Source organism: Homo sapiens, chromosome 2 (assembly GCF_000001405.40).
Source record: "Homo sapiens chromosome 2, GRCh38.p14 Primary Assembly".
NCBI lineage: Eukaryota > Metazoa > Chordata > Mammalia > Primates > Hominidae > Homo > Homo sapiens.
The window spans coordinates 233,999,100-234,020,295 of NC_000002.12; the positions used below are offsets into that span (position 1 = coordinate 233,999,100).

The window sequence follows — 21,196 nt, forward strand, 5'->3', positions numbered from 1 at the left end:
TTTCCTGAAAGCATTTATTTGCCCATGATTCTGTGGGTCCCTCCTGGGGCAGGGCAGGGCAGGGCAGGGCAGAGCTGGGCTGGGCTGGCTGCCTCTGTTCCTTGAAGCATCCAGTGATTGGAAGCTGGACCCCAGGCTGGCTGGTCTGGACATCCACACGCATTCTCACATGCAGTGCCGGCTGGCCAGCAGCAGGGAGTCTCAGTGTCACCACACATAGCAGCTGGGTTCCTGCAAAAAGCAGGTACTGCAAGGCCCCTGAGGCTGTGGCTCAGAAAGTCAGATGACGTCACTTCTGCTGCGTTCTATTGGTCCAAGCAAGTCACAGGCCCACCCAGACAGAACGGGTAGAGAATGTGACTCTGCTTCTGGGTGGGAAGGACAGCCTGCCCGGTGGGTGGAAGAATCCGTGGCCCTGTTTGGCCATCGTGGCCCTGTTTGGCCACCTACCACTCTAGGCATCACTGAGCTGAATGCGCCGGTCCTCTGAGAATGCCTCCCCCACCCAATGCTGGTTTATCAAAAGAAGGGGAGCTTCTCACTGCCCGTCCTACTCCCAAATTCACAGCAGAAATGCGTGGCGCCCTTGGAGCAAGGTGCATGGGGGCTTACCTCTCATTAACTCACCTACCATACTAGACTTGGATAGTTCGAGCAGTCCCACGTTATCTTTGATGCCTCGAACAATTTAGAACACAATTTTCTATGCCCTGACATCTGCAGCTGCATTCACCCCTGGAAAATGCTGAGTATACGGGCTGAACCCGGGGAGACTTTCCTGATCCTCACCATGCCCAGGCAGTTGCAGCAGATCTTTAAGAAAGAGCCTCTTTAGCATACTCTGCACTTAGCTGATTTTCTGTTACTACTGTTCCAAAATTGATATATTTTCACAAGTAATTTGAAGATCGTGTATGTTTTCCATCCTTGGAAAAAACCTTTCCTGAGCACATTCTTTCTGAGCAGCATCTGTGATCAATGTGGATGATTTATTTATTTATTTATTTATTTATTTATTTATTTATTTTTGAGACAGAGTCTCTCTGTGTTGCCCAGGCTGGAGTGCAGTGGCATGATCTCGGCTCACTGCAACCTCCGCCTCCTGGGTTCAAGTGATTCTCCTGCCTCAGCCTCCCAAGTAGCTGGGACTACAGGCACCCGCCACCACACCTGGCTAATTTTTGTATTTTTAGTAGAGATGGGGTTTCACTATGTTGGCCAGGCTCGTCTTGAACTCCTGACTTTGTGATCTGCCTGCCTTGGCCTCCCAAAGTGCTGGGATTACAGGCATGAGCCACTGCGCCCTGGCCCTGTGTGGATGTTTTAAAAATGCATGAACTTGGCTCTAGAAAATGACCTTTGGCAATTTGGCATTGAAAAGGCTTCCTTGATATTTATAAATTATTCAGTTATCTTGTTACAGTCAGGGAGGAAAAATATCTTTTCCTCTACCTGTCTTAGGCTCATGGCTGAGATCCCTACAACAAAAGACAGAGTAACAAGAGGAAAGCATAGAAATTTAATATAAGTTTTATGTGACATAGGAGCCTTCATAAGGAAAGGAAGATCCAAAGAAACAACCTTTTTTTTTTTTTCGGAAATGGTGTCTCGCTCTGTCCCCCAGGCTGGAGTGCAGTGGCGCAGTCTCGGCTCTCTGAAACCTCCACCTCCCGAGTTCAAGCAATTCCCCTGCCTCAGGATCCCGAGTAGCTGGGATTACAGGCGTGCACCACCACGCCAGGCTGGTTTTTGTATTTTTAGTAGGGACAGGTTTCGCCATGTTGGCCAGAATGGTCTCGAACTCCTGGCTTCAAGTGATCCGCCCACCTCAGCCTCCTAAAGTTCCCGGATTATAGGCGTTAGCTACTGTTCTCAGCCAAACTTGAACATTTTTAATAGTAGGTTTAATGAAGAGTGGAAGGTTGTGGAGAAATAGGATAGGGCAAACAGAGTATGATCCCATGGTAATAAACTGGGAAACCTAGCAAGGCCTATGCATTCACATTTCTCTCTGCATCCCTGTGTCTTTGGAGATGAGGACACTGTTTTCCCCTAGGTATAAGGAGTGTGCCTCTCACATGAGGGTCCTATGACCTGCTGTAGGGGAAGGTCAGAAAATCCTTCCTAGGTGATATGACCTGCTTCTGGGGAGAGGGGCAGGAAAAGTCAGATCAGAGAGACCTTCCTGATTGTGTGGTTTTTCTTCAATTCTTTCAGTTTAAAATATTCAATATGCCGTGGTGCCATATTTTGAGGTACTGTGTCCTAAACCCTATCATCACTTATATTCCGGACGGCCCCCAGAAACCAATGAAAAAAGTGCTCATAAAATGTCTAAGTAGGGGAACAAAAGTTAGAAAGGAACATCATTGAGTTCTGATAAATTTCAGAAGCAAGAGTCTACCAACCTCATTTCCTGCCACAGTCCACTTTGGCAGAGTTCTGTAAAACGCACACCACACTACCCACAGATCTAAATTGGAAAATTGAGTGAGCACAAGGATGGGTGGAAATTGTGCATAGGCAAGAAAAGCACAGCATGAAAAGGAGCACCCCCCCTTAGCACCTATAAAAATAAATAGTGTAAAAGCAGTCCTCTTGCAGGAGGGGGTCAGTCCTGCACAAACATGAAGTCTCAGTTCTGGGGCTGCAGCCATGAACAAAGGCACATGGGCTGGGCCTGGAGGCCATCACTTGGTGGGAGCTGGACCAGAGGTGACGTAGATAATTTCGCGGAGAGCCTGCGATGCAGTGAGTGAGGGGGACTGGGAGAGCTGATTCAACAAATATGTGCCAAGAGCCTACCACATGATAGTGGGCCCTGGGGATTTGGTGCTAAATAAGCTAGAAGCTATCTGTGCCCTCGAGCAGGGCTCATCATCTGGGGGAGTGGGGAGCAGAGAATGAAAATGGAAAAGCCTTAATTAAAAAGTGTGGGAAACACTAATTTTAGGGAATGTGCAGGGGGTTGTGATGGCCACAGAGAGGACATTTAAACCCTTGACTAGAGTGCATCAGGGAAGATTTATGGAGGAAGGGAATATTCAAGCTGAGACCCAGAAGATGAATTGGAATTAGCCAAGCAAAGAGGCAGAGGCTGAAATGGCGCCACAGAGCGAGGAGTGGGCAGAGGGAGGAGGGAGTTAAGAGAGGTAGGAGGACAGGGGAGAGAAGACCTCAGGACTGAGGGTTGCAGGAGACGAGAGTAAGGCTTGGACTGTATCCTACAGTCACATTTTAGCTCCATACGGTCCCCTTTCCCCTGCCCTCAGCCCACCAAGTCACAGTGAATCCCAGAGGAAGGAAAAACTGTAGACAGGAGACACTACAGTGCAAGAAATGGTGACATGAACCATGAAACATACATCATGACACCTCTTTGATGACTGGACTTGTTTCCCTCAAGGCAGAAATGAGCAAAGATACTCCCAGGGCTGGTGTGGGGAGACCCACAGATCACCACATGGAATTAGGCTTCTCAGATCCTGATGCTCACTCCTGTGATTTGGGGAATATGTTGGCGGAGGGGAGGGTCGTGAGATGCCTCCCCACCTCCACCTGGAACACTACTGAAAAAAGAAAAGTCGCTGTTAGATAGGAAATTTGGAGTTAAGGGCAATTTGGAAGTGGGAAATATAGGGGAGAATCCAGTACATGTGACTAAAGGAATAGGGTTAGGTGGTCCTTCTCTCTGCTTTTTTTTAAAATCCTCATTCTACTGTTCACAGGTGTTGTGTCTTTCAGTGGCTGCTGGACAGCTGTTCCCTTCTGTTTTTTTCCTAAGGGTATTTGATAAAATGGTCACTGACTGCCACCACTGGATTCATGTTCCATAGAGGGCTGATTATGCCTGTGCCTTTAGTGTAATCTCAAATATTTTGAAGATTCAGAAAGTAAAAATATAAATTTTGCTAACCTAGACATGGTAATTGGTGGCAATTAAGAAAAATTTAACTTGCCAAGAAGCATCGTTTTTTGTGGGGTTCTTGAACTACTTAGAAAAGGAGACAAAGTACTCATAAATATTACTTTAAATATTGATCATAACATATTTCTGTGCTCTCCCTATAGCTGTGAGCCCCTGAAGTCTGGCTTTCAGAATATAAATGTATTCACGACCCCGAACTCGTGTCATGCCTTAAAGAATCATCATAGTCAACTCTTTTAACAGCATTATTTTAAAATGTTAAATGTCACTTTGGGGATGTCATTAACGATCACACATATGTAATTGCTGTTCTTAATGAAGAAAGTGTTTTGACAATTTGGATAAGTTGCGTCTTTCTTTCCATCGTTTTGCCTTGAAAGACAAAGTGAGTCAATTCTGACTAAAAGCACAAAAAGTCTTTATATCAGGGAGAGGATTTGGAAGTTCAGATCTGGAATTTGACTCAAACATGGCACCCAGATACTAGAAGCACTTAATGACATGCCTCAGGACTCTCATTGGTTCTGTCTTGAAGCCATGTCACGGCTGGTGGCTATAGGACCTGGGAGAAGTCTTAGGGGGCCATTCTGTGCCTTCAGGTAACAGAAAACCTACAAGCATCATACTTCTTTCTGAATGATTCAGGGGAGAAAACAAACAATGGATAAAAGTGAGGAAGATTTTGATTCAGTACAAAGAACAATGTCTAACAGTGTGGGCTATCTGGAAATGAGATTAATTGTTCTGTGGAGGTAGTGAACTGCTCATCGCTAGTGGGATTCAGGTTGAGGATGTGTGGGAGGAGGGGCTGCATGGGATAAAGGTCCATTCTCCAAAGATACATTGTACTCAGTCCCAGGATCAGGGGAATTAGGAAATTCAGTGCCTAAATAAGGACAAATCAGTACTCCAGATTAGGGGTGAGGTTGAGAAGGCAGGACGAAATTCATTACATTCCCCTAAAACTTAATTAATGATTAAGCACAATATGACTATAAAATGGAAACAAATCCCCCAATTTGGCCAGCAAATGAAAAGGGGCTTCAGCACAAGGAAGCCACCAGATAAGTCAGACATGAAAGAGTGAATTTGGACCTGTCTCCCAAGTGGGCCCCTGGGAGAGTGGCGATCTCATAATAACCAGAGAAATGGTGTGTTTAACTGTTGACATGATCCCTCTTCAGATAGTTTATATTCTCGGAAGAAACAAAGAAACACTGAGAATAGGAGACAACAGAAGGACAGGATCTTTCTCCACCCTCGGGTGGTGTGGCAGTAATGGGACAGAGAGAGCCAAGAGCCCCACTTTCTGACTGCAGACTCCCCAGGGTGCCTGGTCACTGCCTGCTCATTTGCTTCTCCTCCTTGGAGATGACTAATGCCTGAAACCGCAGCACTTGGCGGCTGCCAGGGCCTCTAGCTGGCAATTCGTTTCCTACATGTATTTTGCTTTGCCTCCAAATGGTGGTGACGTCATGGGTTTAATTCTGAAATTGTTCTTCTTTGGAGAAAAATGCGAGATTTTTCAAATGACTTTCAGAGCAGTGGAATCCAAAGTTTCACTTTTGGTACTTTTTTTGGTGACATCTTCAAGTAATAAAAATGTATGCTACACAGTAATTGCTTTTTCATAAAATGTATTATTTTGCATGATTCGGAAAGCAATCCATATTCATTATAGGACATTTGAAAAATATAGAAAAGCACAAATAAAGATGAAGAGCACATGTAACCCACCATCCAGAGGTAAATATTGTCAACACACTGGTGTTTATTCTGTTATTTTTGTGTGGGTGTATAGTAATTGGATTGCTCTACACACACACATTCATAATCTAACTTGCTCATTTAACTAATAATACATCGCAAAATTTTTCCATATCCACAAATAACCATCTAATCTACATGACAATCTTCAATCGTGGAGTAGTATTCCAGCCTATGGATGCACCATAATTAATCAGTTCCTTGTTAAACATGTAGATTGTTTTGATGCTTTTGCTAGCATATAATGCTATGTTAAAGAGTTCTATGCATTCGTTTCTGAGCACATGAATACTTTTTTCCTTTGAGTTATTTCTAAAGAGAAATTTCTAAATAAAGGGTATGCACCTCTTAAGTCTTTGTATATTGGCTGTCCCCCCTCCTCCACCTTCTGGTCCCCCATTACCCTAAGGCAGTAACAATTGACAGATTTGCCCCCTCGTATGGGAGACCTATTTCTCCACATTCTTGCCAACATGGGATATAGTCATTATTTTACTGCTAATTTTCCAGCATGGTTAGTGAAAATGCGATGTCATCATTTCAATCAGCATTTCTTTGACTGTTACAGAGGTTGGTCATTTTTTATTTTTATTTTTTGGTCATTTGTCATCCTTGCTCTCTGGCTGTCTGTGTCCAGGAGTGTCTACCCTTTCCATGCTGATTTTTAAGCACTCCTGTTGGACTCTCTCATTGATTTTGTTTGAAGAAAAGACATTGAAACTTCTTTGTTGGGAAAAATACAATTCAAAAAATTAGTTAAGAATTATTTTGTAAAGTGAATAACCACACTTAAAAATAAATACATATTTGCTATGTGGAATTTGCTTAAATCGAGGCTGGGCACAGTGTCTCAAGCCTGTAATCCCAGAACTTTGGGAGGCCGAGGCAGGTAAACCACTTGAGGTCAGGAGTTTGAGACCAGCCTGGCCAACGTGATGAAACCCCATCTCTACTAAAAATATAAAAATTAGCTGGGTTTGGTGGTATGCGCTTGTAGTCCCAGCTGCTTGGGAGGCTGAGGCAGGAGAATCGCTTGAACCTAGGAGGCTGAGGTTGCAGGGAGGCAGAGGTTGCAGTGAGCCGAGATTGCACCACTGCACTCCAGCCTGGGTGACAAGAGCGAAACGTCATCTACACACACACACACACACACACACACACACACACACACACAGAATTTGCTTAAATCCAGCCATGTGCATATTGGTTCTGTCTTTGACCCCCAATTAATTCTTTTTAAATCCAGAGAAATCTTATAATTATTCCTAAACTCTAACATGTTGATGAATACATTTAAATGGTAACTCAAAAGTTAAAAACAACATAATTTTATTCCAAATGGACACCTGTGTGAGCATATGTGCTCTCTTGTCCCCGTGAATTTGTGTGGAGGTTTGACGTCCATTGCATTCGTACCTGAAATATAGGTGACATGTGGATCTGTCCTTTTGTTTTCCTGTCTTCTGAAAGGCTCAGGCACCATAAGGAATTGAACTAAAAATCTTACTGGAATATGTCCCAGAACAATCTTACGGCATGCCCTATCTTAGGTGAATTTTCTTTGAGGTCCACAGCTCATGTTTCAGAAGGACAGAAACAATGCCTCGGGCTTATTTTCCTCTCCTCCAGAGCTCCTACCCCAGTTTTAGGTTGAGAGTAAGTACACAATTCATCAGCAATTATCCAGCTGAATTGTTTAGCATTTTTATGTCATCAAAATGGAAGAAGAGCACATATCAAATGTGAGAACTAAATTCATTAGTGGAATGATTTTGCGAAGTCACAAAACACACAGATAGGATTTAGATCGATTATTTAGAATAAAGATTGCATTCCTATTTCACACAGGCAGCTCCAATTCTTCATTGTTAGGAGAAAGCCATTACTATTCCATCACTCTGATGCTGTCACTAGGAAGTAACATCAGTCAAACCAGCCTGTGCAGGACGAATCTCATTCTTAGTTCTAGAGTCTCACAAAATGCCTTAGAAGATCTTAATTTAGGAAGCAAGGGGCAAATGAAACAATTTGAATGTTTTCTTTTTCTCATTATTCAAGGTTTCAAAAATGAAGACAATGAGACTCTGGCATGGGAGGGTGTCATGAAGGAAAACTACCTTGTCAAGATCAACACAAAAGCCAACGACACCTCAGAGGAGTATGTCAGACATCCCTTTCTGCTTTGCAAGGCTCCCTCTGTAGACATAAGCCCATAGAACGTAGGCAGCTTATTTGAGCAAACTCAGTAAAGAGCATTTTCAACAGAGAATAATACCACCACAAAGATATTACCCGGGCAATTGAAGATGACAAACGCGTAAGTGTGTGCCAGCCTTTGGAGAAGGAGAAAAAACACCCACCTACTATCCCAATTGCCCTTCAAGGCCCTGGGAGAGAGAGAGGTATTTGGAGCCTGCAGTGCAGGGCCATGGAACTAGGTAACAAGAGGGTGGGTCCCCTGCTGCGGCCGCAGAGGTGGGTTCTGGCAAGACTCACAGGTCATGGGCCATTGGCATTATCTTGCAAGTGCCACACACCTATTTATCTTTGTGGTGAAGAAGTACAGATATTAGAAGATAGAAAAACCATTTTGTTGATCTGTTACAGGCTGTCCATGAAAAATCCTGAATTCATTTATGAATCGCATGAAGCTGTTATAAAATCCATGTGATTAAGAAATACGTTGATTAAACATCTTATAGAAATAGATAAGTCATAGCTAAGTCTGTAGGTGGCCCAGAAGTAATGTGTTGTGAAGTCTATAGAGCGTGCTCTTATTGTAAATGTTAACGTTCTTCACTGACAGCTGTCACTCTTCCTGAGGGTTCAAAACACACCTCAAGTTTCACTCTAACAAAATATGAGTATATATAAGCACAACTAATACCTTTGCTGGGTTCAATACAGCTGTTGAAAGAAGCATGGGATGCTCGTTCTAACAACAGAGATGATGTCATAAGCTCTCCTCCATCCCTAGACTCTGAGATCTAGGTTTTGCAAGGGACACACAGACTTACAAGTCCTTTTCCACCGCCCTGTCAACAGCAATAGCATTTATGTGCTGCACTTCTAATTGTGATGAGATAAAATTCTGCTTTGTTAGGGTACTAGGAAGAAAATCAGAAAGGTAAATGCAGCTGATTCTTGATTTAGCTAAGAGTGAAAATGACTTGTATTCTGTACTTTAATTTAAAAGACTGCAAAATGGAGCCTAATAGCCCTCTCTCAATCTGTTTTTCTCTTGTTCACTTTCTTTTTCATTAACTTCTTTGCAGAATGAGGCATCGATTTAGACAACTGGATACAAAGGTATGGTTCTGTTAATAGTTTGGATTTTTTTTTTTTTTTGGTCACTAATACTTTGAGCTTTCAGCTAGAGGCCAGTAGTTGTGATAATAAAAGAAGTTATATTCAGCTTTCTTAATTCACTGTCTAAGAGCAGGGTGCTGGAATGGTATTGCTTCTCATGCTCTAAGCATCTCCCAGGGAAGAGTCTTGAAGTCCCACTTCCATGATGTCCAAAATCTTTTCTGTCTTATCCAACTCAGGGCCCCCTCTTCTCTTTCTTTCAGCTGTGGAGGCAGGTGAAGATGCTTACAATTATAGGGAACATAAGGAAGGCTCAAAAGAGCTTTTTGGGAGCCAGTGTGCCTTGATGCTAGTCTTTGCTGCCACTCTGATTCGTTGCCTGTTTTATTTGGAGGGCATTGGAAATGCGTGAGTACGCATATGAACACCAGGCATAGACAGAGTGTGTCTGCCCTCACTCTGAGCTGGGTAGCTGAAATTATAATCAGGTTCAAATCACAATCGATTCGTATATGCTAGATCCCTGCTAGGCTCTGAAGAGGAGATGATATTTGGTATTCTATCACGTTAGTTTGAGAATGGCATCCCGGATGATGACATTCATAGACCTCCCAGTGTTGTGGCTGTTCGGTGGGTAGACAGGACCCCATCTGGTTTGGCAAAATCTCCACCACCCAGTACCTTGACCATAGTAGAGCCTTAATAAATGTTTATTGAATGAATAAATGAACAAAAGGGGTCCCTTGCAGAGCTCTCATATAAGAATTTATCTGTTTACAGTTTCTTGTTTATTTATTTGTGTTATTTACCCTCAACATTTAAAAAATCTAGGCAGTAGTTGGCAGCTGTGAAGGCCCTAAGTCTAGAGAACGATGGGTTGTTGTAAGCAGCTGAAATGAGGGGCAGCATGAACCAGAAGAGAGCCCAGTGGGAAGAAGTGGGGGAGTCTGGGTTATTCTGCCTGGGAACTTGCTTGCCTCTTTACAGAGCTGGATTTTATTCCCATGCAAGGGAAGGCTCGGGGAGTTTTAAAACCCAAGAGGGACCTATCTGGAATCCTCCTTTCACAGTGCTCTCTGAGTGATCAGAATGGTTGTGGAGGAGAGGCTCCAGCAATCTGGTTGGGGAGTTAGATGCGCTGGGAACTCTTCTACGTGGTGTGTTTGTAGAGAAAACAGTCTATTTTAGTTTGTTTTGTTTTTTACTCGAGTTTATTTGGAGTGACTTCGGAGGGAGCTAATGGAAAGCCATCTTAGGGTTTGGGCAAAAGCTTCCCCAAGCCACACCTTGGTCCTGATCCTGCTGTGGGACATGCAGAGAGTGGACAGAGGAGGGCAGCAACAGTGGATGCAGGAAGAGAGGGACAGGGTGCGAGCCTTGGCCCCAGCCTGGGCCCTGGGTCAGAGGAGAGGCGGTAGAATTGTGGATACAGGACCAGCTGACCTGACTCCTAGGGTCCAGGAAGTTCGTCAGCCTGGATCCCCACTGCACAGCGCAGAGCCTCGGCCATCACTCAGGAGGTCCCACCGCCTCCCTCCCCTTCTCCCTTTCCCCTTGCTCTGTCTCTTTTTTTAAAATTTCCCCCTCTGTCCTCTTACTTCCCCTTCTGAACAACCAAAAATCCCTCCTTCTTTTTACTCACAGAGAATTTTAGGGATAATCTTTTGTTTCTCAAGAAAGCTTCTGGAGTCTTTTAAATTTATTTTTAAACAGCTTTATTGAGATATCATTGACATATAAAATTATATATATTTAAAATGTACAATTTGATGCTTTGATGCATGTATACATTGCAAAATGATCACTACAACCGAGCCCAGCTAATTAACATCGTATTACTTCTACATATTTACCATCTGTGAGTGTTGTATGTATGTGTGAGGGAATTAGATTAATTTAAAATCTCTCCTCCTGGCAAATTTCGTGGGTACAATGTTGTTAACTATTGTCACCATGCTGTACAGTTGATCTCTAGAATTTATTTATCTTGCATAACAGAAACTTTCTGCCCTTTGACCAATATCACCTGATTTGCCCCTCCTTCTTAGCCCCAGCGACCACCGTGCTACTCTCTGACTTGATGAGTTTGACTCTTTTAGATTTCACATATAAGTGAGATAGTGCATTATTTCTCTTTCTGTGTCTGGCTAATTTTGTTTAGCATAATGTCCTCCAGCTCCACTTACGCTGTGGAAAATGGCAGCATTTCTTTCCCCATTTTAAGGGTGAAAAATATTCCATTATAGGTATGTACCACATTTTCTTTATCCATTGATCTCTTGATGGACATTAGGTAGTTTCCATATTTTGGCTATTGTGAATCATGCTGCAGTGAATGTGAGAATGCAGATATCTCTTTGTGATCCTGATTTCAATTCTTTTGGACCTAAACCCAGAGGTGGGATTGCTGGATCATATGATAATTGTATTTTTGTTTTTTTTGAGGAACTTCTATACTGTTTTCCATAATAGCTATATCAACTTACCTTCCCACCAATAGTGTACAAGAGTTCGCCTTTTCCCACCTCCTTGCCAACACTTATCATCTGCCTTTTTGATAATAAGCGTCGTAACAGGTGTGAGGTATGGTCTCATTGTGGTTTTGATTTGTATTTCCCTGATGATTAAGTGTTGAGCACCTTTTCATATACCTGTTTGACATTTGAATTTTTTCTTTTGAGAAGTGTCTAAGTTTTTACCCACTTTTTAATCAGTTTATTTGTATTTTTGGTATTGAGTTGTATGAGTTCCCTATGTATTGTGGATATTAGGTGCTTACTGATAAATGGTTTGTAAATCTCTTTTTCCCACTTCATAGGTTGCCCTTTTATTTAATTTATTGCTTCCTTTGTTGTGAAGAAGGTTTTGTTTTACATAATCCCACTTGTTTGTTTTTGCTTTTCTTGTCCTTGCTTTTGGAGTCATATCCAAAAAAATCATTGCCACGACCAGAGTCAAGAAGGTTTTCCCCTATGCTTTCTTCTGGGAGTTTTACAGTTTCAAGTCTTATGTTTAAGCCTTTGATCCATTTTGAGTTGATTTTTGTGTATAGTCTGAGATAGGGGTCCAATGTTATTCTTTTACATGTGGATATCCAGTTTTTTCAACACCATTTATTGAAGACTTTCCTTTCCCCACTGATGCCTTTGGAGAAATCAGTTGGCTATAAATATGTGAATTTATTTCTGGGCCCTTTATTCTATTCCATTGGTCTATAGTCTGTTTTTATGTCAGTACCGTACTGTTTTGATTACTTTAGCTTTGTAATATAATTTGAAGTCAGGAAGTGTGATGCTTCCAGCTTAGTTCTTTTTGCTCAAGATTGCTTTGGCTATTCAGAATCTTCTGTGGTTTTATATAATTTTAGGATTGTTTTCTCTATTTCTTTAAAAAAAAAGCTCATGGAATTTTGATAGGGATTGCATTGAATCTGTAGACTTCTTTGAGTAGAATGGATATTTTGGCAATATTCATTTTTTCAATCCATGAACATGGGATGTTTTTCCATTTATTTGTGTCTTTTAAAATTTCCTGGCCGGGCGCAGTGGTTCATGCCTGTAATCCCAGCACTTTGGGAGGCCGAGGCAGGTGGATCACAAGGTCAGGAGATCGAGACCATCCTGGCTAACACAGGGAAACCCCGTCTCTACTAAAAACAGAAAAATTAGCCGGGTGTGGTGGCAGGCACCTGTAGTCCCAGCTACTCTGGAGGCTAAGGCAGGAGAATGGCGTGAACCTGGGAGGCAGAGCTTGCAGTGAACCGAGATCGCGCCACTGCACTCCAGCCTGGGAGACAGAGCGAGACTGTCTCAAAAAAAAAAAAAAAAAAAAAGATTTCCTTTATCAATGTTTTATAATTTCCAGTGTACCAGTCTTTTACTTCTTTGTTAAATTTGTAAGAATTTTATTCTTTTTGTTACTTATATTAATGGATTGTTTTCATAATTTCCCTTCTAGATAGCTCTTTGTTGGTGTATAGAAATGCCATTAATTTTTATGTGTTGACTTTGTATCCTGCAAATATACTGAATTTATTTATGAGTTCTAACAGTTTTTTTTTTTTTTTGAGACAGAGTCTCTGTCACCCAGGCTGGAGTGCAGTGGTGCAATCTCAGCCCACTGCAACCTCTGCCTCCTGGGTTCAAGCGATTCTCCTGCTTCAGCCTCCTGAGTAGCTGGGATTACAGGCGTGCACCACCATGCCCGGCTAATTTTTGTATTTTTAGTAGAGATGGGGTTTCACCATGTTGAGCAGGATGGTCTCCATCTCCTGACCTTGTGATCTGCCTGCCTTGGACTCCCAAAGTGCTAGGATTACAGGCATGAGCCACCACGCCCAGCAGTCCTAACAGTTTTTTTTTGTGTGTGTGAGAGTGTGTGTGTGTGTGTGTGTGAGTGTGTGTAGTCTTTAGGATTTTCTTCATATAAGATTATGTTATATGCAAATAGAGATAATTTTACTTTCTTCTTTGTTATTTAGATGCCTTTTCTTTTCTTTTTTTCTTGTCTGATTTCTCTGGCTAGAACTTGTCATGCTATGTTAAATAGCAGTGGTGAGAATGGGCATCCTTGCCTTATTCTTGATCTTAGAGAAAAAGCTTTCAATTTTACCCCATTAAATATGATTTTAGTTGTGGGTTTTTTCATATATGGCCTTTATTGTGTTGTAGTAAGTTCCTTCTATATCGATTTTGTTGAGAGTCTTTTTTTTTCTTTTATCATGAAAAGGCCTTGAATTTTGTCAACTACTTTTTCTGTATCTATTGAGATGATCATGTGGTTTTTGTCTTTCATTCTGTTAATGTAGTGTATCACACTGATGAATCTTCATATTTTGAACCACCCTTGCATCCCAGGGCTAAATACCCCTGGGTGGTGGTGTCTTCACGGATCCTTTTAATATGCTCTGAAATTCAGTTTGCTAGTATTTTATTGAGATTTCTGTATCTATGTTCCTCAGGAACATTGGCCTATAGTTTTCTTTTCTTGTGTTATCTTTTTCCGGCTTTGGTAAAAGAACAATGCTGGCCTCACACAATGAATTTGTACTTGTTCCCTTTTCTATTTTTTGGAAGAGTCTAAGGTTTGGCATTTGTTCTTCTTTGACTGTCTGCTAGAATTTACCAGTAAGCCATCTGATTTCCCAGTAAGCCATCCTGGGCTTTTCTTTGTTGAAAGCTTTTTGATTGCTGATTTTCATTTTCTTCATTTGTTGTTTGTCTGTTCAGGCTTTGTATTTCTTCTTGATTCAGGTCTTTGTAAGTTGTACATTTCTGGGATATTTCCATTTCTTCTAGGTTGTCCACCTTGTTTGCATATAATTGTTCATACTAGCCCCTTCTGATCCCTTTCATTTCTATGCCCTCTGTTGTAAGGTTGTCTTTCTCATTTCTGACTGTATTTATTTGTATCTTCTTCCTTTTCTTAAAAGGTTTGTTGATTTTGTTTATCTTTTCAAAAAACCAACTCTTACTTTCAATGATTTTTTTTCCCATTGTTTTTCAACTCTCTTTTTTAAAAATGTATTTTGCTCTTGGAGTTTTTGCTCTACTTTAAACAGCTTACTAAAGTCATTTTACTATTAACAAATACAAGGCTCTTTCAAAAGCTCCTATAGGGAATACAAAATTTCCCCATCTCCTTATACCAGAAAACAAAGTTATTTACAATTCATCTTAAGTCTGTAAGTATGGATCTTACTATGCCTTATTTATTTTAGGAAGCCGTTAGCACTTATAGTTTCATTTTTTTCTTTTATTTTTAAACAGTTAAAGTAAAAGGTTACTACTGGAATTAAGCTCAACTTAAATACAGATTTTTTTCTTGAGTGAGTGATAAAGCAAATTAGAAACCAAACTGTACAGAAATTGCTTTTAGCAAATGTAGTAATATGACATGTAATTTAAAATGACTTCATGTATCTTTTGTAATAAATTTGTGAAACATGCATGGATCAAGATTAATTTCATTATGCCTCTTACTTAAATTGTCTGCTGTTTTTGTGTGTGTGGGGAAATCTTTTATTTGCAAAAATTTGATTTCTTAGTATCACATTATTTTTATTAGTATTATACTTTTACCAAAGCAAAACTTAATTAGTATCTTATACTTTTATTAATGTTAGTTACATAGAACATTATTCTTTTTACATATTACTTGTTTGTATTATTGCAATCTATTATTTCTGTTTGGGAGCACTAATGATTTGGATCTGAGTAAAGTTAATATTAATTGGTTTACTAATTGGTTACTAATTGCTAGTGATATGATTTCAGAAAGTAAGCAATGATCAGGATCTGAAATATCACATGCCACTCTCATTCTGCCTTATTTTAGATGTGCCATGCTTGCTATTTAGTAGACATGTCTGTTTCTTAGAAAAGGCACAGAGCGATAATTTAAAAATGAAAGTTGGAAAATTTATCTTAAGATGAGTTCTATTTTTTTCTCTTTCCAAGCTTAATGATCTCAAGGGTCTTCTGAAAGAGATTGCTAATAAAATCAAATAAAACTGTATGAACTCTAATGGAGAAAAATCTAATTATAGCAAGGTGAGTCATTCTAATAGCTTTTTACTTTGCTCTGAAGATTTGCATCTTTTAAGACTAATTTAAGATCATGATTTTTTCCTCAGTTATTTTATTTCCATAAATTACCAAATTTGAAAATAATGCATTGTGCAAAAAAAAAAAATACAGAGATAGAGAAAGAACAAGTTGAAGTTCCTCCTCACATTACCTTCCCTACCAATTTTGCTGCCCACACCAGGGATTAGCATTGCTACGAGCAGGGTGTAAGTATCTTGTCCTGTAGGACCTTTTAAAACACTTGCAACCTATGCAGCTATTTTGGCATGAATTGAAACAAGGTCACACTGTTCCAAGTTCTGTTATTTTTTGATCTTCCTTAATTCTGTATCATGAATGTATTTACAGATCAGCACCCAAAGATGTCTTATTCTCATGATATTATATTTATTACTATGAATATACAAATATGTTAATCATCTTTTTACTAACAAAAAATGTTTTGGTGAGGCATTCAAGGTTTTTAACAATAGCTCTTTTGCACAATAAAAATGCAATTCAATTAACTGACAAAATTTAACCCAAGGCTTTGCTCCATGGTCTTACTGTTTGCTTTTATTATGTTTTCTCATTACCTGTCCAAATCTTGAAACCAAATGTTAGGAATGTTTTATGGACACGTCGAGTTAGGAAAAAAACAGCAATGGGCATTCCACTGGATTAGAATTTTTTTTTTTTTTGAGAAAGCAAATTGCAAGGAATGGAAACATAATTAAGAATTCTCTTCTTTCTCCTTCCTCTCTTCCCTTCCTTCCATGAGTATTTATTGAGTACCTGCTCAGTGCTCAGAACTGTGCTGGCCCTGGCACTGACCTCATACACTGACCACTGTCTATGCATTAAGTACTTAAGCTGCAGAAATTCCTATTCATGGGGTGATTGTGCTATAGGGGAAATCATGTTGCATTAGGTTCCTTTCAATCTTTCTGGTCTCAGAGTTCTTTTCCTTGGGTTCTGACAGTTATAGCTCATATTAAAAAGCACTGTATTATGGAGGGCTTTGTTAGAGCAAGACTGATGCACATTTGATGTAATCTGAAAGGGAGGTACAGCCTTCTGACGTGCTCAAGAAAATAAGCCTTGCATATTAAGGGAGAACTTATTTCAACTTTTTCATAATCGTATTTAATGAAAACACTATTAAACCTTATAATAAATTACAATTTGGGTTTTGAAACACATGCCATCTTGTTTAGTTTATCTGCTGAAATATAGAAACAAAATCAGCAACAGATAGAACAACTAAAATGATACAAATCTAAAGGTGATTAAAGAGTTGTAATAATCAGAAGAGAGTCAGATTCAGACACGCACATCCCCCTCCTAAATATCCAGTCTTCTCATCTCTCATTCTTTCTCAAATGTGCTGACTGTGAGTAAAACGGGCAGACAGACTGATTTCCTATCAACTCGCCCTTTCTTTAACCTTAAACTTTTATTAACATATTGAGAATTAAGTAACTGATGAATGAAAAGGAACTAAGAGAAGGACATCACTTATTTTGTGTGTGTGTGTGGGTGTAGACATTTGCATCTACACAGAAAAAAAAAGAGGAGCAAAAGAGCCCATGAGAAAACAGGTGTCCCCAAAATTCAGAACCACTGGTGGCCTCAGAGACAACAAATTTGGCATGTCCAACTTTTTGTATGCTTTTTACTTCTAGATATAAGATCATTTTTTTGAATGTTGTGTTTGTCATATCCTTAAGAACATCACTGAAAATATAACTTTATAGGCAATCAGCTAGGTATGCTCTGCCAGTGTCTCCTTAGGCTTCTTTCTCTAGAGGGGTGAGGGTAATCCTTCCCTGGGGTAGTGGCCAGGGAAGACAGTGTCAGTCTCTTGTGGGAGTGAACTGGAAACCGTTTGACCTAGGCGAGGAGCTGACCCTGGGGGCAAGCCTGTACCAATTCCCCCATCTCCATCCTTGAATCAACCTTTGATCCCGGAACTTGGGATGAAATAAACAGATAATTGTCTATTTTTTTTCCTTCTCTTACACCAAAGTTGAAAGGAAGTAAGAATCCAGGGTGAGAGCAAGCCATTTGTTTTCTCCTATTTTTATACTTCAGCAGTGGGCACCCTCCCTGAAGACTATGGGAATAGACCTTACTTTAAGGAAGGTCCCTGGAAGTTGTTCATTTCCTGCATAATAGTCCGTTGATTCTTGCATTTGCTGCACTTACGTTCTAGTTCATTAAAAGAATCTAGGCTGTTCCTTGGGGGACTCATCAAAAACCCACATTTTTATGTTATTTCAGTTTTAATTCAGTTTTTAAAAATTTATGCAGAAACCACTGAGCAAATAAAATGCTCAGAAACATTCTGGGTTTTAACCTAGATTGAATGAGTTTGAATGAGTTGAGCCTTGATCATTCAACCTTAGTCACGCAGCTCACACCGATAAACTGGTCAGAATACACATCTTTAAGAGAAAAAAACATTCTCAGAGCTGCTTCTATAAAAAAAAAAATCTCTCAACTTTGGTGGTATATTTGGATCTATTCCCAGTATATTCCCAGTATATTTTGAAGCAAACCATATCCTGCCTGAGAATGGAAGTGGGAAATCTATTCTTAACACAGTGTTCTTTCTTTGTTTTTACAGATCATATTAAGGAATGCTGATGAACAATTTTGCTATCGACTACTAAATGAGAGATTTTCAGACCCCTGGGTACATGGTGGATGATTTTAAATCACCCTAGTGTGCTGAGACCTTGAGAATAAAGTGTGTGATTGGTTTCATACTTGAAGACGGATATAAAGGAAGAATATTTCCTTTATGTGTTTCTCCAGAATGGTGCCTGTTTCTCTCTGTGTCTCAATGCCTGGGACTGGAGGTTGATAGTTTAAGTGTGTTCTTACCGCCTCCTTTTTCCTTTAATCTTATTTTTGATGAACACATATATAGGAGAACATCTATCCTATGAATAAGAACCTGGTCATGCTTTACTCCTGTATTGTTATTTTGTTCATTTCCAATTGATTCTCTACTTTTCCCTTTTTTGTATTATGTGACTAATTAGTTGGCATATTGTTAAAAGTCTCTCAAATTAGGCCAGATTCTAAAACATGCTGCAGCAAGAGGACCCCGCTCTCTTCAGGAAAAGTGTTTTCATTTCTCAGGATGCTTCTTACCTGTCAGAGGAGGTGACAAGGCAGTCTCTTGCTCTCTTGGACTCACCAGGCTCCTATTGAAGGAACCACCCCCATTCCTAAATATGTGAAAAGTCGCCCAAAATGCAACCTTGAAAGGCACTACTGACTTTGTTCTTATTGGATACTCCTCTTATTATTTTTCCATTAAAAATAATAGCTGGCTATTATAGAAAATTTAGACCATACAGAGATGTAGAAAGAACATAAATTGTCCCCATTACCTTAAGGTAATCACTGCTAACAATTTCTGGATGGTTTTTCAAGTCTATTTTTTTTCTATGTATGTCTCAATTCTCTTTCAAAATTTTACAGAATGTTATCATACTACATATATACTTTTTATGTAAGCTTTTTCACTTAGTATTTTATCAAATATGTTTTTATTATATTCATAGCCTTCTTAAACATTATATCAATAATTGCATAATAGGCAACCTCTAGCGATTACCATAATTTTGCTCATTGAAGGCTATCTCCAGTTGATCATTGGGATGAGCATCTTTGTGCATGAATCCTATTGCTGTATTTGGGAAAATTTTCCAAGGTTAGATTCCAATAAATATCTATTTATTATTAAATATTAAAATATCTATTTATTATTAAAACCATTTATAAGGCTTTTTCATAAATGTATAGCAAATAGGAATTATTAACTTGAGCATAAGATATGAGATACATGAACCTGAACTATTAAAATAAAATATTATATTTAACCCTTAGTTTAAGAAGAAGTCAATATGCTTATTTAAATATTATGGATGGTGGGCAGATCACTTGAGGTCAGGAGTTCGAGACCAGCCTGGCCAACATGGCAAAACCACATCTCTACTAAAAATAAAAAAATTAGCTGGGTGTGGTGGTGCACTCCTGTAATCCCAGCTACTCAGAAGGCTGAGGTACAAGAATTGCTGGAACCTGGGAGGCGGAGGTTGCAGTGAACCAAGATTGCACCACTGCACTCCAGCCGGGGTGACAGAGTGAGACTCCGACTGAAAATAAATAAATAAATAAATAAATAAATAAATAAATATTATGGATGGTGAAGGGAATGGTATAGAATTGGAGAGATTATCTTACTGAACACCTGTAGTCCCAGCTTTCTCTGGAAGTGGTCGTATTTGAGCAGGATGTGCACAAGGCAATTGAAATGCCCATAATTAGTTTCTCAGCTTTGAATACACTATAAACTCACTGGCTGAAGGAGGAAATTTTAGAAGGAAGCTACTAAAAGATCTAATTTGAAAAACTACAAAAGCATTAACTAAAAAAGTTTATTTTCCTTTTGTCTGGGCAGTAGTGAAAATAACTACTCACAACATTCACTATGTTTGCAAGGAATTAACACAAATAAAAGATGCCTTTTTACTTAAACACCAAGACAGAAAACTTGCCCAATACTGAGAAGCAACTTGCATTAGAGAGGGAACTGTTAAATGTTTTCAACCCAGTTCATCTGGTGGATGTTTTTGCAGGTTACTCTGAGAATTTTGCTTATGAAAAATCATTATTTTTAGTGTAGTTCACAATAATGTATTGAACATACTTCTAATCAAAGGTGCTATGTCCTTGTGTATGGTACTAAATGTGTCCTGTGTACTTTTGCACAACTGAGAATCCTGCAGCTTGGTTTAATGAGTGTGTTCATGAAATAAATAATGGAGGAATTGTCATGTGTTGCTTTTGTCATTTTATTGAGAGTGACAAAATAAAATTCCTTAATTCGGTCAGATTCACTTCTATAGGGATTTGGTTCCCAGAGTTACATGAACTGACTTCTCTAAGCAGATGACTAGAGCATTCTGATTAAATGCAAGCAAATGAATTCCCCCCTCTGGTTCTGGTTCTTGTCAACATGGCCAGATCTGAATTCTGTGGCCCACTTTTTGGTTTCCCCCAAGTCAGGCATCCATCTGTAGCCCCGGGGACTCCAGATTCATTGACTCAGAGCCACCCCAATGTGTCATGGGGCTTTTTTGAGGCCTCATGTGGGCTCACAAACAGGTGCTCCTGCTCTATGTTGGGGTCAACACGAATGTTGATTGTCCACAAACCACTTGACAATGGAGCTTCGGGCCCAGCAAAGGACATGATTCCCTTGTTGTAGGCATTGTCTCCAGAGTGTTCCTGGGCCCTCCTGCTCCAAACACACATTCATTCCAGGAAGAATCTGGGAAATGTCTCTTTTCCCATGCTGCTGCTGCTTGGTCCACCTGGGGACTGAAGTGTGTTGTTGTCATGGATACAGTTGCTGGCGCAGCCTCAGTCTCAAAATAAAAGGCTTGAAAGTCAGGGTTGAGCTGGTGCTGGATACGGGGAGCACACATCCCACTGACCTTCCCAACCCGAACTCAGGTATGAGCAGGTGAGCCTTTATTCCCCTGAAGATAGAAATCTTTATGGGAAAAGTGACAGTAGCTGGCCTACCTCATTTGTTTATCAGACC

The 21,196-nt window shown here is 40.0% G+C and overlaps 1 protein-coding gene across 19 annotated transcripts in view, besides 1 other annotated feature; it reads left to right on the top strand.

Moving 5' to 3' along the window:
• The window catches only part of TRPM8 (transient receptor potential cation channel subfamily M member 8), a 102,150-nt gene extending 81,727 nt beyond the window's left edge, over positions 1–20,423 (top strand). For 10 of the 19 annotated variants that reach the window (NM_024080.5, NM_001397611.1, NM_001397607.1 and 7 more), the window contains 4 exons: positions 7,754–7,853; positions 8,971–9,004; positions 15,463–15,555; positions 18,200–20,423. In NM_024080.5, coding sequence (NP_076985.4) covers positions 7,754–7,853; positions 8,971–9,004; positions 15,463–15,513 — 185 coding nt within the window. In that variant the 3' untranslated portion in view covers positions 15,514–15,555; positions 18,200–20,423. Of the gene's footprint in view, positions 1–4,071; positions 4,263–7,753; positions 7,854–8,970; positions 9,005–15,462; positions 15,556–18,199 lie in introns of those variants that run through there. The other 9 variants (XM_011511810.3, XM_017004891.1, XM_024453133.2 and 6 more) reach the window with 3 other exon arrangements.
• Positions 12,377–12,655: a silencer, noted in NCBI's record as "fragment chr2:234920120-234920398 (GRCh37/hg19 assembly coordinates)". NCBI's record gives its function as "represses an EF-1alpha promoter that drives an FKBP-Casp9 reporter gene in an ReSE screen in phorbol 12-myristate 13-acetate-treated (for megakaryocytic differentiation) K562 erythroleukemia cells {active_cell/tissue: K562(+PMA)}" and the evidence as "EXISTENCE:reporter gene assay evidence [ECO:0000049][PMID:32094911]".
• Positions 20,424–21,196: the final 773 nt, after the last annotated feature.